Here is an 18,571-nt window from a genome sequence, read left to right as displayed (position 1 = left end):
ACTGTCAAATGCTATCTTCTAGACCTTGGACTTCGCAGCCTCCAGACTGTGAAAAATAAATTTCTGTTCATTACAAATTGTCCAGTCTGTAGTATTCTATTATAGCAGCACAAAACAGACTAAGACACACATTCATCTCAAAATCTAGTCTTTGCTACTGGTTTCATTTCTCCCTTTTTAGTGGGAGTTTACTATTTTTATAATCCTTCCAAGCAATGGAAGCAACTCAGAATCAGAAGGTACATCAAGGTCTTGCACAAGAGAAGAAAGTTAAAATTCAAGAGCACAATAAAAATTAAGAGACAGCACACTAAAGAGAACATTTGCCCAACATTACTACCGTTTATAATTTTTTCACTCCCATGGATTGATAACTTTACCCTCCAGGAGTGTAACCTACTTGTATAATGAAGGTTCATTTGTCTTCAACCCATATCAGAGCTTCTCCTTTGCAGGAATAGAAGAGACAGTAGGTAGATTGCATCTAAAAGTTGTTTTTGCCATTAAAGCATATCTGGAATGTGTAAGATACTGAATAAACACCAGCTAATTGTTGGTGGATTATTTCCATCATTCAACTAAAGCTGAAGTCTCCTTAACCCTCTAAGTCTACCCTAGTATAATGAAATTGAATACAATCATTTTATGTTATCCCCCACATTCCATGGTCTACATAATCTTTAAAAATGCTTAAACATCTTTAGCACAAACATACTCAGGGAAGTCAGGACAATTCCAATACAGCAGTACTCTCCTGGAACCTCTGCCAAATCCTACAATCTCCTCTAGAGATCTTGGATACAGTCAGGTCCCAGTCCATGATCTGTTTTTGTCCTTTGAGGCATAAATTTGGCAACTGGAGGTGATACATGCCCATACTCTTTGAGCAACTGACTCTTTTAGGACCCCCTCACTAAACATATAATTCCAAAGTGGCAGGACTGTGCTCTTCCCAAGTGTTGGTGGGAACAATAGACTCAGCAATACGCTGTCTCCAAAGAAACCTGTTTTCCAACCTCCTTCTCAGATCTCTGAAAACTCTTTGTTTCTAATTCTTGATCTGACTGAGAGGTTTAGAAGTTACTGAGAAGACTCATGGTGTCATCTCCTCATGCGTATGTGTGTAGGTAAAGAACGGCGGTTTCTATCTCCAGCTTTTGCTGTGTTCTTGATATGTATTGAGGTGGTCTCCAAGTGAAACTAAGGGAAGAAGGGTTGCACTCTAAAGCCACTGTTTACACAACTGATTTGAGCCAAGAGCAATACAGTGAAAAAACTTTATCAAGTTAATTGGCTATTCAGTGGTGATGCTGAAAGGAGTGGTGGAAAGTTCAGAAACACTGCCATAATGCTTTCTAGCATTTTGCATTTATGCCAAACTGTGTATTATATCATATTGGATAATTTGCCTTACCAGGTTAAAGAAAGGGAAAGAGAATTAAAATTCAACAAAATGAATTTTCTAGGAAGTCTTCTCTTTCTCTCCCCAGTCTCATCCATGTTTAATTTTGCCTCAAGCATATTGTCAGCCAAGTACCTTTCTAAGCCCAAGTGTTTGAGTCTGTTTTGTTCTTGTTGTTTGTTTTTTAGAGACAGTCTCCCTATGTTGCCCAGGCTGGTCTCAAACTCCCGGGCTCAAGGGATCCTCCTGCCTCACCCTCCCAAAGTGTTAGGATTACAGGCATGACCCACCATGTCCAGCCTTGAGTCTGTTTTCTTATTAAAATATAGCCTGCATCTGGTTTAGCTTGTGGGTCACAAATATATTTTCAAAGAAAGTAACAGAAATATGGGTAGCAACTTCCCACCATTCTCCTTGAGCTCCTACCCCATTCCTTCTCGGCATAATGCAGGCTTCTTCCACAGAAGGGCCCATGGGTATGGGTTAATTTGCCCAGTGGCCTAAGAAGGGACTGTTCTAATTGCTTCCAAGGAAATCCATTTATTTTATAGCCCAGTAAAATTCTGTGTGCGATGGTAAATAAAACCATTTGGACACGATCTCAATGCACAGTTCTCTGGCTCCATTTGCAGTCCATGATAAATTAAGGAGGGGGTGAATAAAAAAAAACATTGTGCAAACAGATGCAATTAGCTGAAACGGTATATTTTTGGCCTCTGATGATGTCTGCTTACATTGAATCCCCACTTGAAAACCAATCCTCATTTGAAAGCAACTAGAAAAATCTTTGTAATACACATGGACCTTATTTGGCTGGATGTTGATGTACAAAGACACCTTTGTACATTAAATTGCAGTGTTGACTTCTGCACTTGAAATTTCATTTCGTCATTTTTAATCACAATGAGCAAATGTCAGCCTTAATAATAACCCTCTGCTCCTCTATAATGTCTTTCAACAAAGGCCCTGAAAGCACTTTTGCAAATATTAATAAACCGAGATTCACAACAACTCCCAGAGGCATCTGTACTGCAGGCTGAAAGCAAGCCCAAAGTCATGGAATGACTTTGCTAATCCACACAGGAAACTAAGCTCATGAAGAGAAACAAAGGCTATCATTCTGGTTTAAGTCACCCTCACCTCTTTCTGAGAAAGATTTCCTTCAGAGAAGGAAATCACCGGGAATTTTCATCCATAACCTGAATCTCAGAGCACAAGGAATGAACGAAGGACTATTTAGGCTCTGACTGAGATTTGTGTTAATTGTTTCCCTCTTCCTGAATACAATCTATACGCTGTTGACTCCCAAATTTATAAACCCCATCCAATTTGTCCCTTTCTTCCCATACTTAGATATCCAACAGCCCTGGAGATCTAACTGACATCTCAGTCCGAACATATTCAAAACTAAACACGTGAAGTCCTCTCCAGAAACCTGCCCCTCCCTCAGTCAGTTCCATTTCAGTAATTAGTAACTCCTCTTTTCTACTTTATGGGTCCCTAAACCTTAGAGTCATCTTTTACATCTCCATCTCTCCCACTCCATGTCAAATTATCTGTGGATCTTGTTGGTTCTGCTTTTTAAATAAATACAGAGACTAAGCCTTTCTCATCACTTCTTCCCGGGCCTGCATCACTGTCACATCTAGCCTGGACTAGTGTAATAGCCTCCTAACTTATCTAGCCTGGACTACTGTAATAGTCTCCTAACTTATCTCCCTGTTTCTATCATTGTCTGCTAGTCTATCTTTTCACAGCAGGAAGATTGATCCTTTTAAAATGTAAGTGAGTTCATGTATTCCTTTGCTTGAAAGTCTTCAAAGACTTCCAGTCTCATCCAGAGTATAATTTCAGTCCGTACTAAGGCCTACAAGGCCTTGCATGATCTGGCCCCTCATGTCTCTCTGATCTTATCTACTGCCACTTCCTCCTCTCTCCTTCAGCTCCAGCCCAGTTGTCTTTTATGCTCCTCAAATAAGCCAAGCATGCTACTGCCTCAGAGCCTTCACTTCAGGATACCTCCGCCTAAAATGCTCTCCCCTAGATATTGAAATGCTTGCTCCTTCCTTTTCGTAAATCTCTGCTCAAATAACACCTTATCAGAGGGGACTTCACCAACCACCTCATATAACAGAACATCATTTCACAACACTGTAAACCACCGACCTTGTTTTATTTATTTTCATTCACTTATCAGCACCTGGCACCAACTTCTAAATTACCCTAATATATAAATGGCCATAGTTCCCAGAGATATACTTTCTTCCAATGACTGCAGAAGTTCTCCCCACTCTTTCCTCTCCTTTGGGGGTGCCTGGAGACCGTCCCCATTGCCTTTTGTAATGCCAAGTTACTTTCTCCCATTTATTTTATCCTTATTTTATCTCCTATCTCCAAGTATTTTCTCCTCAATGCTCAGGAACGCTGAAGTTCCCAAAAGAAGGGGGCAGGGCGATGACATACTTTCATTCTGCTACTTGGCCTACATCATTGGAAAAATGGATTTTGGAATCTGAGTTTGAAACCCTGAGGATTTTTTCATAGAATTAATATGAAAAGCAGAAGTAGTTTCATTTCTCAAGTACCCTGTAGGTTAGTGTCTCATGGCTAGTTTGGAAGTCTAACATATTTATAACACATTGTACAAGAAAATATGAAGTCCTATATATTTTTCAGACTCAGCTCATGTATAAGCTTCTCTTATCAGTTAACTATTGCTATATAGTATACTTCCTGAAAATTCGGTGTGTTTAACAACAGCCCATTAGTCTATGGGTTGTTACTATAGGCTGGGCTCATCTAGATGGTTCATCTTTTCTCAGCTGAGCTTTCTTGAGCATCTAAAGTTTTTTTGTGCAGGCTGGCTAGCTCTGGGCTATGACAACAGAAGTGACTAGATGTATGCCTCTCACCCTTCAGCAAGCTACCTCTGGCTCGTTCATATGTCAGAATCAAAATTCCAACAAAAAGAAAGTGGAAGCATGCAAGGCCCTTTGAAGCCTACTCTTGCAACTGGCATATGATCATTTCTGTAACTCCTTATTAGCCAAAACAAGCTATAAGGCTAGCCAGATTAGAAAGGTAACAACATAAGACTTTACTTTTTAATAGGAGCAGCTGCAAAGTACATTGCAAAGTATGTGCATATAAGAAGGGTAGAAAATTAGGCATCTTTTTTTTGCAATTGATCTATCATACCTCCTTTTTGATAGCTTGTCTCAAGCAAAATTAGGTCCCCTTTTAACGTCCTTTCATATCACCTTACGCCTACCTCTATTACAAATATGTTTTTTGTTTTGTTTTGTTTTTTCTTTATCTGCCCTCTAGGAAATAAATTCCTTGAGGACAAAACTTATACAATTATAGGAACATACTATTTGTTCAATTAATGTTTATTGAGTCATTCTAAATGGATAAATGATAATAAATAAATAAATTGATTAAATGCAGCCAACTTAGAAGTCTTCGAAAAACAATTCAATTCCTGAGGACCATATTATTTTTTTTTAATTTGAAAGCAATATTGTCACAATATTTCAAAGGATTTCCTGATATTAGGTAATAGACAAGACTGAAACTTTTCCAAGATTGAACCTTCCTGAATTGTTATAACAAAGAATGACGCAAATTAGAAACAGAGAGACACTATTTTACTATTAATACATCCTCACATCCTATTCAATGAGTTATGTCTACTTTTCACTAATGTAATCTTTATTGTTAGTGGTCTCAATAAAACCTTTGAAGTCCTACATCAGTGTACTGCTAAAGCAAAAATATAGATTCATTAAAATCTATGCATCTTCACTTCTTTAATATCAAAAATCATTCAGTTCTCTTTTTAGCTTTTCTTCTGATACTGTTACAAACATACTAGTTGCTCAGAGATGTTTGTCATGCCAATTATTGATTATCTTACAAAGACCTTCTTGTTCTTACCTTCTGCTTCCTCTCCTGGTTTATAATCTAGATAGTGACAGAAAGGTAGTAACAACAAAAACCAACCAAATGAATGAACAAACTAAATGAAGAAAGGAAAATCAAGCAGGTTTGTTAAGTTCCATCTTAACTTTTCTAGTATTGCTTTAAAGTATAAAGCACCTTCAACTCATTTTATAAGGCCATCATTACTCTAACACTAAAAACAGGCCAAGATAACACAAGGAAAGAAAATTATAGACCAATACTCATTAAAGACACATACAAATATTTAATAAAAGATTAGCAAATCAGATTTTGCAATATATAAAAAAAACACACCACGACCAAGTGAGACACAATATTGGAAAATTAACAAGTATAATTCACCCTATGAACAGAATATAATAGAATAACCATTTGATTATCTCAAATTATTCAACAAAACTCTATATCCATTCATGATGAAAACCCTCAGTAAAGGAGAATCAGAAAGGAACTTAATCTAATAAAAGGCATTACATAAAATCCACAGCTAACTTTATACTTAATGATGAAAGACTGAATTATTTCCATGATAACAAGTCAAATATGTCCACTCTTTTCTGTCTAATCCTATCTCATACTGAGATCCTAGCCAGTGCAATAAGGCAAGACAAAGATACAAAAGTCTTTAAATGGAAAGGAAGAATAAAAACTGTCTCTATTTGCTGACAACATAATTATTTAGGAAGAAAATCTCAAAGAATCTCAAAAACAACAGCTATTAAAATTAAGTAAGTTTAGCAGGATACAGGTTTAATATATAAAAATTGATTGTATCATTGTATATTATAAATGAACAATTAGAAATTGAAACTTAAAACCAGAATCATTTAGAATACCACAAAAAATAATGTTCAAGGATAAACAAAATAAATATGTGTTAAATTTATATACTGAAAATTGCAAAATGTTGAGAGAGAAACCAAAGGAAACCCAAATAAATTGTGAGATATACCAGGCTTATCAATCTGAGCAACAAATGTTATTGGTATATCAATTCTCCCCCAAATTGATTTATAAATTCAATACAATCTCAACATATGGTACACTATCAAAATTAAGAATAAAAAATGTTTGCATTTTGAAACACACCATAAGGGAAAAGAAAAGTTATGAACTGTGAGAAAACATTTTTAGCAAACATATCTAATAAAAAGCCAACTCTCACAACAAATAATAACAACAGCAACAAAAATAAATGAATAAAAAATGGACATTTTAGCAAAGAAGAGATGTAAAAGCAAATAATCACATAAGATGTTCCACATTATTATGAGAATGCAAATCTAAACTACGATGAATTACCACCATATACCTATTAAAATGGCTACAAAACAACGAAAACGAAAAACTGACAATAATAAGTGCTAATGAGGATGTGGACAAAGTAGTTTTTATTCATTGCTTGTGGGAAGGCAAAATGATATAGTCACTTTAGGAAACCAACAATTTCTTTTAAAGTTAAAGACACATTTACCTTATTACCCAGCACTCCCACTCCTATGTATTATCGTATGGCTTCACAAATGCCTGTACATAAAAGTTTATAGCAGCTTTTTTCATTATCACTAAAAAGTAAAACTCAAACACCTATCAATTAATGAATGGGTAAATATGAATAGCTTTACACCTATGCAATGGAATAAAACTGTGCAATAAAAGCAAAGAACTACAGAAAACATGCAGCAAATTGATCTCAAAAGGATTTTGCTAAATGAAAAAGGAAAGACACAAAAGACTGCACACTTTATGACTCTATTTATATGGCATTTTCAAAAGCAAAATTCTAGGGTCAGATATCAGATTGGTAGTTTCCTGGGTTGGGATTGAATATGGGGACTGATTACAGAAGTGAAGGAAACTTTAGGAGCCAGTGGGAATATTCTACATTCTAAATTCTGATAGTGGTGTTGCAAAACAATTGTATAGCTTGTATATGTTTGTTAAAACTCATTGATCTGTACATCAAAAGGTATGAATTTTGCTCTTGTTAATATGCTTTACTAAACCTGACATAGAAAGGTAATAATTGGTGAGTGTATAGAGAAACACTTTAACATCTTTTCTCCCCCTGTCTCTTTAAGAAGCCAGCATTGAGAGACTTTGTGCAGGAAGACAGGGACCCTGAGATCAACACAGAGTTCCTTGCACATTTTAGTACCTGGAGTAGTGTGGTCAACTCAGTCTTTACCGGAATTCAATGTAAATACTAGGAGAAATGTAGAGCATAGCTCCCACCCTTTGCTGTAACACAGACTGAGTAGATATGATTATTCATAAAATCTTGGAGCTCAGATTGGTGTCTTGCTTAGACTACCATGCATTTATGAAGAATGGGTTGGATTGATCTGGTTTTCCATATTTCAAATTAAATAATTTTTTGAGGCGGGAAGAGGAAGTATAATGTAGGCTATTGAAGACTTTAGCCAAAAGTAGGATCAGACAACAGCTATAAATTTTGGTCACCCACTTTAACTGATACATAATTTACTTTCTGAGTGACTGCACAACTGTATGCAAGTGTTTTCTTTCTTCCTTTTTTTTTTTTTTTTTTTTTTTGTCCTTAACATAGCTTTTCTGAACCTTACTTTTCTTTGGTAAAACTGTAAAGAAAATGTTACAAAATCTTATCTATTCTGTGGTTATTGTGAGGAACCAAATAACAAAATACAAGAAATGTACTTACTAGAGGACCTAGCATCTAGTAAAAAGCAATAAATTTTAGCCAGAACTGAAAAAAAAAAAAAAATTTCTATAAATATGCATAGTTGGCACTATTGCCAAACCTCTTTAACTGACATGTGTGCTTGATACAAAAATCTAAGAAGTTTATAATCTAGCTGGACTTGCAAAAAGTTAGCAGATGTTGTTTACAAATTTAAACTCCAGTCCTAATGTAATATAAGTTAACAAACAATTGAAGACCAGGCACAATGGCTCACACTTGTGATCCCAGCACTTTGGGAGGCTGAGGTGGGCAGATCACTTGAGATCAGGTGTTCAAGACCAGCCTGGCCAACAGGGCAAAACCCTGTCTCTACTAAAAATACAAAATTAGTCAGGCATGGTGGCAGATGCCTGTAATCCCAGCTACTTGGGAGGCTGAGGCAGGGGAATTGCTTGAACCTCGGAGGCAGAGGTTGCAGTAAGCCAAGATCGTGCCACTGCACTCCAGCCTGGGTGACAGAGTGAGATCCTGTCTCAAAAATAAAAAAAAGAACAATTGAAGATATTTTATTAATTGGTAAGTGTAAAAATTCTAGATTGAAGAATGCTAAAAAGTATTGATGTGTTAAAAAACAAACCAAAAAAACAGCTAATAACTTGTAAACAGGCACAATGTAAGTAAGCATCAAATACTGAGAGCCCAAGCAGAGAAAAATAATTTCTTAACAATATAAAGGGTTTGTGTTGAATTGTTCAGTGGTCTTCCTATAATCCCCTTATTCTACATCTTCATGAAAAAGCTAATCTGAGAAAATTCTCCAAAGTAATTGGTGAATATACAATCTTAAACAAGAAGATGTTTTTAAAGCCATGCCACTCAGAAACAAGTTTCCAGGGCTACAGCCAAAATCAGAATTTAGGCTTCAGAATTTTTTTCAAGTTAAAAGAAACTTGCAAGAGATAAGTTAAGGATAGACAGGGAGAAAAAGGAAGGATTTACAGTTTTGAGAGTCCAATATGTAAGCCCCTGTAGGATAATTTTATATGCATTTTCTCCTTTTTATTCTCAGAACAATCATTTAGGTAATTCCTATTTTCTTCAATTTACAGATACAGAAATCAGAAGAGGTTTAATTTGATCCCTACTCAGCTAAAAAACACTTTAGGTGTTTAAAGTAAGGCTAAAACATATGACTTCAAGCAGAGATCAGACTCGAAGAAAGGCTTCCCTTGAGCTTGACATCTTAGTCCGCTTTTTTGGCACAATGGAGGCTTCGACACACCATAGCAACAAAACTTACATCTTTAGACTACTTTACTGTTCACAAACTCTCAGAAATTCTCTCTGGTTACATTTTTATGTAATCCTAATTATCACAAGCTATCATCAGATGTGCATGATTCGCATTTTACAGATGCAGAAACTGAGAGACAAAGAGATTAAGAAATTTATTCAATGGTTCAAAATAAGAAGCCAGTAGAACCAGGGGTCAAATTTTTATCTTGAATCTCTAAATGTCACATTCTTTCTCTCAGGGTCTTTCATACCAATTCCACAAAGGACTTTATCAACACAGGTGTCTGTTTACCACTTTTAAATAATCCATTAAATTTACTTGGTATTTAAACATTATCTTTCAAGCTTCCATTTATTTCACATGAATTTCCAAAGGAAGATTTTATTTGTTTCCATATGAAAGTGTTTTGAATTGTTTCTAAATTGTGCTACTCAACTTTCTAACTAAAACTTTGAGCAAAATGAATAAGAAGATACTTACTGGATCCCTTGCTTACACCTTATACAAAAATTAATTCAAGATGGATTAAAGACTTAAATGTTACACCTAAAACCATAAAAACCCTAGGAGAAAACCTAGGCAATACCATTCAGGACATAGGCATGGGCAAGGACTTCATGACTAAAACACCAAAAGCAATGGCAACGAAAGCCAAAATGGACAAATGGGATCTAATCAAACTAAAGAGCTTCTGCACAGCAAAAGAAACATCAAAGTGAACAGGCAACCTACAGAATGGGAGAAAATTTCTGCAATCTACCCATCTGACAAAGGGTTAATATCCAGAATCTACAAAGAACTTAAACAAATGTACAAGAAAAAAACAAACAACCCCATCAAAAAGTGGGCAAAGGATATGAACAGACACTTCTCAAAAGAAGACACTTATGCAGCCAACAGACACATGAAAAAATGCTCATCATCACTGTTCATCAGAGAAATGCAAATCAAAACCACAATGAGATACCATCTCACGCCAGTTAGAGTGGCAATCATTAAAAAGTCAGGAAACAACAGATGCCAGAGAGGATGTAGAGAAATCAGAACACTTTTGCACTGTTGGTGGGAGCGTAAATTAGTTCAACCATTGGGGAAGACAGTGGGGCAGTTCCTCAAGTATCTAGACTAGAAATACCATTTGACCCAGCAATCCCATTACTGGGTAGATACCCAAAGAATTATAAATCATTCTATGATAAAGACACATGCAAACATATGTTTATTGCGGCACTATTCACAATAGCAAAGAATTGGAACCAACCCAAATGTCCATCAATGATAGACTGCATTAAGAATATGTGGCACATATAAACCATGGAATACTATGCAGTCATAAAAAAGGATGAGTTCATGTCCTTTGCAGGGACATAGATGAAGCTGGAAACCATCATTCTCAGCAAACTATCACAAAGACAGAAAACCAAACATCACATGTTCTCACTCACAGGTGGAAATTGAACAATGAGAAAACCTGGACACAGGGCAAGGAATATCATACACTGGGGCCTGTTGGAGGGTGGGGGCTGGGGGAGGGATAGCATTAGGAGAAGTACCTAACGTAAATGACGAGTTGATGGCTGCAGCAAACCAACATGGGACATGTATACCTATGTAACAAACCTGCACGTTGTGCACATGTACCCTAGAACTTAAAGTATAATAATAGTAATAATAAAATGCAGGATAGAAAAAAAAAAAGAAGATGCTTACTGTCTGACCTAAAGCTTCAGTTGCCCCCATCACACCGTTGTATACTTTTGTTTGTTCCCAAATCCCAGCTTTACGATTATGCTCTATACCCTTTAGTGTAAAATAATATAGAGGAAGGAATTAGACTTATGGAGGATCAAGTACACCACCATGTAGCCATTTATATTCACAATATAATTAATATCTATAATAACACTGTTGGTGAGCATTTTATTCCCACTAAACCTGAAGAAAATGGAGGACCAGTAGAGTTAGGTTTCTTATGCAATTTGCACAACTGAGCAAAGGTTTTAGCTAACCCTGAAGCACAAGTATGTCTCAGAAGTTCCCATCTGTCTGGTGATGCTCCAATGTAATTTTTATTTTTACATCAGATGCTTTTGATTTTATGGAAGTAAAGAAAGTAGATTGTACTAGACTTAGAGGAAAAAATACGTAGATTATTAATAAAAGCAAGGGATGTTTATTCTTCTTTTATTATTATTATTTTTAAGCCTCATCTAACCAAAATATTCCACAATCCCACATTCAGAGTTTTGTGATAGATGATTCTCAGCATCAGCATTCCTGCCATGGCCCAAAGACATCACTTTGCTTATGACACTTTCATTTTTCACTGTTTTAAAACATGCATACGGTGCTTTTTCAGCTTTTGGGCTTGGATGCTTGCTTCTTTAAAGTGATTGTAGGGAATAGCTGGCTCAGTGATGTAGCAGAGGTATTTCAAACATTGAGAATCAGGAAAGACAATGTAAAGCTACGTTAAATTCTTGAGTATTTTAAGAGCGTGGTATTTTTCCAAAACACTTGGTATATTTTTCAAAATTTAGGATTAAATTAGAATTGGAGAAGTCTGTGATGTCAAAATAATATGGCTTTTAAACATAATTCTTCTCTTCCTTTTCCAATATATGCTCATATAAGTCAAACAAAAGTTCTTAAATAAAACAAACCATGCTTAAAAAAATAAATCTTCTATTTATCCCCATTTTTCTGAGACAAACCTCCCTTGGTGTTTGGAGAAGCTGATACTGTCCTACGTTTTATGTAATTCTAAGTTGCAGATAGCCTGTGGCATGAAGTGTTAAATAAAAAGGCACTAACATACATTTAGAGTATCTCACATGTGCTAGTTCCTGATCATACGTTTTCTTATTTGATTCTCACAAAAATCATATGAGATAGGCATTGACATCCCTGCTTTACACATGTGCAAACTGAGGTACAGAGAGATTAAGTATTGTTTCTCAAGTCACATAACTGGTGTCTGATTCTGAAATGCCTTCTATTTCCACTCTACCAGGGGTCCACAATCTGTAGCCACATGCCATATCTGGCAAACTTCCAATTTTTGTAAATAAAGTTCTATTGGAACAGTGCCATGCTCATTCGTTTACATATTGCTTAGGGCTTAATTGAGTACATATAAAGGGCCAGATAGCAACTTTTTTTGTCTTAGCAAGCCATATTATCTCTTTGATAACTCAACTCTGCCCTTGCAATGTGAAAGCAACCATAGACAATTTCTAAATAAATGTGTTGCTATGTTTCAATAAAACTTTATTTACAAAAAAAAAGGCATCAGTCCAGTTTTGGCCATCAAGATATAGTTTGTCAGCCCCTCCGTGGTATGGAAATATGTCTCTTAAGGCAGAATTTTGATAAGTTCATTCAAAAATATCTGAAGTCTGACCTAATCAAATACTGATGAGTTCATTCAAACATGTAGAAAGTCTGAGGGCTGCCTTTTAAATGTTTTAAAAATCATTGGTTGAAATGTTCACGGGCTTAACATTCAATCTCCTTGTAATTATTTGACTATTAATCTTGTTTTTTCCATATCCTTCCATTAAAAGAATGCTAGAAACACAAGCGTCAAGTATTAGAATTATCTTAATCTACAAAAAAATTTTCTCAAAGTAAGTGTAGTATAGAAATTATATAAATCATTTTGGTCCCCTTCCTATGACAAGTCTGGCTGAATATACATACAAGAATTTGACCTTCAAAAAGGCTACATTTATTAGGCAAAAAAAAAAAAAAAAAAAAAAAAAAAAGACAAAACAAACAAAACAAAAAAACCTCCCTGCAATACATTCTAGTGGTATAGCATAGAGCAAAGGAAAGCCTGAGATCTCTCTGCTAAATCTCCCAACCCAGTGATAATCCCAAAGCTTTATGAACTGACTTCTAAAATGTGTTCTCTGCCCACTTATCTCACCCAGCAATGCAGCCTTGATTGACACCACATCTCTCAAGTGAAATGAAAACTGGTGCCAAACCCAGATACTCAGCCAAAGGAAAAGCGAGCATTTGGCAGCAGAACATGTGTTAGATGTCAGTCATATGGAGTAAGAATCCCAGCCACAGGGGAAGGCTGGCATTTTGCAGAAGAAATACGAAAGAGGTATGATCCTAGGCTTACAATGGTCTACAAAAGGCTGTCACTGCTTGAGAACCAAAAAATAGAGTTACTATTGTTCACTTGCATCATTATAAAAATGAGAGTGCCCAAAGTGGCTTTAACCAGATTTGAGCTATAACAGAATGACAGAGGGATTCTTTGTCTCTGAAACACCTGCAATTCTTACCTACAACTGAAGGAAATCTTTAGCAAGAACCTAGGCAATTTTACTCTTTAAAGTCAGAGATAGAAGTAAACATAATATTTTATATAAGAAATTACATGTAGCACTTAGTGCATCCCAGGCACGATTTTAAATGTTCATAAATATTAACTTATTTAACTTCTTAAAAATATTAGGCATAGGTATAATTATTCTCCTCATTTTTATAGACGTAGACATAGAGGTAGAGAAAGTCCCTATAACCTTCTCCAACACAGCACAGAGTTCAGTCTGTGCTCTTAAGTCTCTTACGCTTCTGGATCATGCCTTCAAATGTAGCAATCTCAGGCAAATTAGTTTATCTCTTCTCTAAACCTCTATTTTCTCATGTATGAAAGAGGGATAAAAATCCTTACCTCAGCAAATGGTTATAGAGATTAAAGAAGATTAAACAGTAATTTATCCAACAGAGTGTTTAATAGATAATAATTGCAAAAGTTCACACCTGTGAAGCTCTTACTATATACCAAGCATTGTGATAAAGAGTTTGCAGACATTATCTCATTAATCCCTAGAAAACCTCATGACATAGATGTTAATATAATTCATCTTTTCCACATGAAGAAATTGAAGATCGAGATGTCTAAGTGCTGTGTTTAAAGTCATACACGCATCTAGTAAGGAGGAAAGGCAGGCCTCAGATTTCAGAGGCTAGCATGTGCACATTAAAAGTTTATTCCCTTCTTCTTATAAGAAAAAGACAATAGCTGGCAAAGGACCAGAAAGGTTCAAGCTATTTAAATGGATGGGATCATTATGGTTCTCAAACAAAGCCCTTAATCCTGGGACAACCATCACCTCTTAATCCTAGAACTCACCTTTGGAAATCCCAGTCCAGGTGCTATTGAGGATACAACAGAAAGTGGGAAGAAAATTGGGAGTTCCCAGTTTTTCCCCATAGAACCATACTCATAATCATTATTTTAGGGCAAAATAATTATCTATGCCAAGGGCATTTGGGGTTTCACAAATATTGCTTCTAGGTGAGTTGCACCACCTCTATTCAGTTTTCCCAATGTCTAAAAATAGAATATTCACATTGAGTAATACAGATGTGGAATATCTTAATGAATTGTCAAGTCAAACTAAATATACAAGAAAAAATAATTGAATGCTTTAGCCCTTACCTTGAGAGGGAATGGGTTTCCTCTGCCAAAGTATAGAACACCCCTTCAAATTGCTTTTTACCTAGAATTACAATAGATACTGTCTTAGGCCACCAGCAAGGGGGCGAATTAAGTTTATAATGGTAATTTCTGGTTCAGCACCTTGAAATTTTTGCTTTGGTTAAAAACAAATGAGAGAGAATCCCCGTGCTTTGTCACAACTGCTAACTTTGTTCCTGATTCATGAAATTTATATAATTTCCAGTAACCCATTTGCTTCATAGCTAAACGAATCCATTCAGAACAGCTGGCCACCGTTCCTCATTGTGTGCAGAGCTTCTCACCGAGTACTCCTTTTAGTTTAATCTTTGCCCTACATGTATTTTCAATGTAGCTTCCTATCACCTGGGTCAGACTCTAATTTTCTCACCAGTCCCTTTACTTCCACCGCAGAGACCAGTAGCTGAGTACTCATTATTTTCTCATGAGTAGCAGTTAGCAACTCCAGCCCCAGCCAAAACTTAGAAGTCAGTTCTTTTTGAGTTTCCAGAGCAGCACTATCTAATAGAAATATAATACAAAGTGTATATATAATTTTAAATTTTTCAGTAGCTGCATTAAAAAGGCAAAAATGAAGAGGTAAAATTAATTTAATAATATATTTTACTTAACCCAGTATATCCAAAATATTATAAATTTAACCTGTAACCAAAATTTTTAGAAATATTTATTATTATTATTATTATTATTATTATTGTTATTATTGAGATGGTGTTTCATTCTTGATGCCCAGGCTGGAGTGCAATGGCATGGTCTCGGCTCATTGCAACCTCCGCCTCCTGAGTTCAAGCGATTCTCCTGCCTCAGCTTCTCAAATAGCTGGGATTACAGGTGCCTGCCACCAGGCCTGGCTAATTTTTTTGTACTTTTAGTAGATGCGGGGTTTCACCATGTTGGCCAGGCTGGTCTCGAACTCCTTCTATCACTCCTTCTATCACTCAGGTGATCCGCCCGCCTCAGCCTCCCAAAGTGCTGACTTTACAGGCATGAGCCACCGTGCCCAGCCTAGAAATATTATTAATGAGATATTTTATATTCTCTCTTTTAGTACTAAGTCTTTGAAATCTGGTATGTATTTTACAGTTACAGCGCATCCCAATTTGGATGCAAAAATTTTAACAAAAATACTTGTTCTATATTTAGATTTCATAAAATTTATTGTTGAAAAAGTAGATTGACATACTTTGTTCTTAACAGACTTAAAAGTATTCCAATAACTGAAGTAGACATCAATTGCTAAAATTAAATTTAAATTAATTAAAATGCAGTAAAATTTAAAATACACCTCCTCAGTCACATCAGTCATATTTCAGTTGTTCAATAGCCACATGAGGCTAGTCGCTACCATACTGGGTAGTGATGTCCCAGAGGATGTAAAGTCTGCCTTTGCCAGCTGCTCACCTTTGAACTGTCTGGTAGGGCATCTTTCATTTCTCCTATACACCTCTTGCACTACATCAAAAAATCAATTTGCAGGTGTCTTAGGATTCAATTAAGTGATAACCAGATAAAGCAAGTGGTAAGGCATGGGATCATCATTAGAGAAATCCTGTCTGAAAAGCGTGGTTAAGAAACAAAAGAAATATGAGTGTCCAAAGAAAGGATATCAAGGTCAAATAGAAGGCATTGGGTTTGTTTTTTGTTTGTTTGTTTTTCCAAGACGGAGAAACCTTCAAATGTTAGAAGTCAGGGAAGATACTCCAATTTGAAAGGAGACACTAAAAATATGAGAAAAAAATGAGATCTTAATATGTGGAGATGACAGGAAAGGATAGATGAATAAAAAATGCATTAATATTAGTGATTAAGAGTGAAACTTAGTATTAAGAAAAGTCAAAGGACTCATAAATGACTAAATCCTATCCTGAAACCAAAGCATACCTTTCCCAGAAGAATACTTCCAAAGAAAGTGTGGACACAATAGCAGAATGACAATAAACTACCACTTGTATAGTGTTTGCACAACAGGCAATCAATGCAGAGCTCTAATAAAATGCTGGACTGGAGACCCATGAGAAGCCCCCTCCTCCTCATCTTCCTTTGTATCTCAACTGTAAGACTTAGAACCAGCATATGCAGACATGCTTATAAGAATCTGGAGTTAGAATAATCACTAGGTCTGCAATTAGGCATTGACTTAATTTCCCAGTCCAGATGTTGGAAGATATAATTAGCATTGTTTCCTCAATTTCTTTTCCATTAAAAAAAGTCTTCAGAAGTATTTATAGTACTAAGTAACTCTCTAAATCATTACTATATTCTGTTTTATCCCCTAATTAACAGATTTATCTTCTTCAAAATCAAGATATTCCTGAAATTTTCAGGGTATTTTTAAAAATATATTTTGAAAACCATTTGAAACATATGTATAGGAAACTCTCCTGAGCACGCTAAAGTTTACTGAAGAGACTCCAAGGGTCTGGAACTAAAATCTCACACCAAAAGCTGATGTCACATGTTTGGAATATTGGCCTGTTCCCACAGAAAGTTTGCTTCTGCCCTTTAGAGGAACATATTTGTTTGTGAGTTTCTGAGCTTCAAATTGATACTGAGCAAATATTTATCAACTCTGTGAAAGCACCTTTGGTCAAGGAAGGCATGTGGAAATATTCAAGGCTCCTTTCCATCCATTTTGAGACAATTAGCACGTGCATCTCACCTCAAATGCCAAGTCCAGACACTAACTAAATAATAACAACAGCAGTTCTCCATTGATGTAGCTTCCCGCTTGGAATAGATTTTTCAAACAGCCACATTCTTTTCTAGGGAAGGATAGTTCCAGAGAGAACATAACACCTCCTCCAGGCAATTCCCAATCTTGTCTGGCAAGAGAATTAAATGACGTGGCTAGGTGTGACCCACAGCCATCCACTTTATTCTCTTCATAGGCCAAACACTTGAAATAGGCATTGCTTTATCATCCAGATTGGCTGCATAGATGAGACTCTGCCATTAAAACACATCTAGAAACTTATCAAGTATGGCATGCTTTAAAGTTGTGGCTGGATAATGGGCAAACACAAACTTATTTTAAATTTGTACTTACATTTTTGTAAATGTGGCCAAAATAAAAACAAAACTTCTAAAATATTATTAAATCCAAATAGTATAGTATATGTTTATAAAATATGTATGCATACACTGCACGTAAACATTTAGAATATATAGTTAGAAATTTAGTTTAGAAATGGATCATACTGCAGATTTACTCAAAAATCTCTCCCACACTTAGAGATTAGCCAAAGATTTAAGACAAAAATTATAAATATAAAATTATATAAGCTACATATGAAATTATAAATATGTATAGTAAGTACAATAAAATTTCAGGTTTTATAACCCTATCACTTGGATGATCTGATATAGATTTTCACATCTACTTTTTTTTAACTTATTCATTCAAAAAATATTAATAGAGTCTTCAATTGCCAAGTTGAATGTCTTTCACTCTTCCCCTACTTTGAGGAGGGCTGCCAGAAATTCACCTTTATCTCTAGAGGAAGTTGGTTCTCTGACACTGGTCTCCTCTCCAAAGATAAAATCAAGCAGAGCTCCTTGGAGACCGTTGATGTAGCTAGCAACTGAGGCATAAATGGATAGCTCTACTGTCTCAGAAGCATATAACACACTATTTTGTTTTGGGGATTGAAAAGAGAAAACGGTGAACTTCTGCTGCATGGATCTTAGAGAGGGAAAGGAAAGCTGTGCCGTTGGAACAGCTAGCATCACGGAGAATGA

At 35.8% G+C, this 18,571-nt stretch overlaps 3 annotated features.

The window, feature by feature from the left end:
• Positions 7,328-7,497: an enhancer, noted in NCBI's record as "experimental_67959 CRE fragment used in MPRA reporter constructs". NCBI's record gives its function as "activates a minimal promoter by MPRAs in K562 erythroleukemia cells, with activity observed for both the introgressed and non-introgressed 3:20748320 variant alleles {active_cell/tissue: K562}" and the evidence as "EXISTENCE:reporter gene assay evidence [ECO:0000049][PMID:34662402]".
• Positions 13,357-13,526: an enhancer, noted in NCBI's record as "experimental_67948 CRE fragment used in MPRA reporter constructs". NCBI's record gives its function as "activates a minimal promoter by MPRAs in K562 erythroleukemia cells, with activity observed for the introgressed 3:20742291 variant allele {active_cell/tissue: K562}" and the evidence as "EXISTENCE:reporter gene assay evidence [ECO:0000049][PMID:34662402]".
• Positions 17,559-17,728: an enhancer, noted in NCBI's record as "experimental_67940 CRE fragment used in MPRA reporter constructs". NCBI's record gives its function as "activates a minimal promoter by MPRAs in K562 erythroleukemia cells, with activity observed for the introgressed 3:20738089 variant allele {active_cell/tissue: K562}" and the evidence as "EXISTENCE:reporter gene assay evidence [ECO:0000049][PMID:34662402]".

The sequence above is a fragment of the Homo sapiens genome, chromosome 3 (assembly GCF_000001405.40).
Source record: "Homo sapiens chromosome 3, GRCh38.p14 Primary Assembly".
Lineage (NCBI taxonomy): Eukaryota > Metazoa > Chordata > Mammalia > Primates > Hominidae > Homo > Homo sapiens.
The sequence above is the reverse complement of the archived record's forward strand: the minus strand, read 5'-3'. Positions and strand labels throughout refer to the sequence as shown.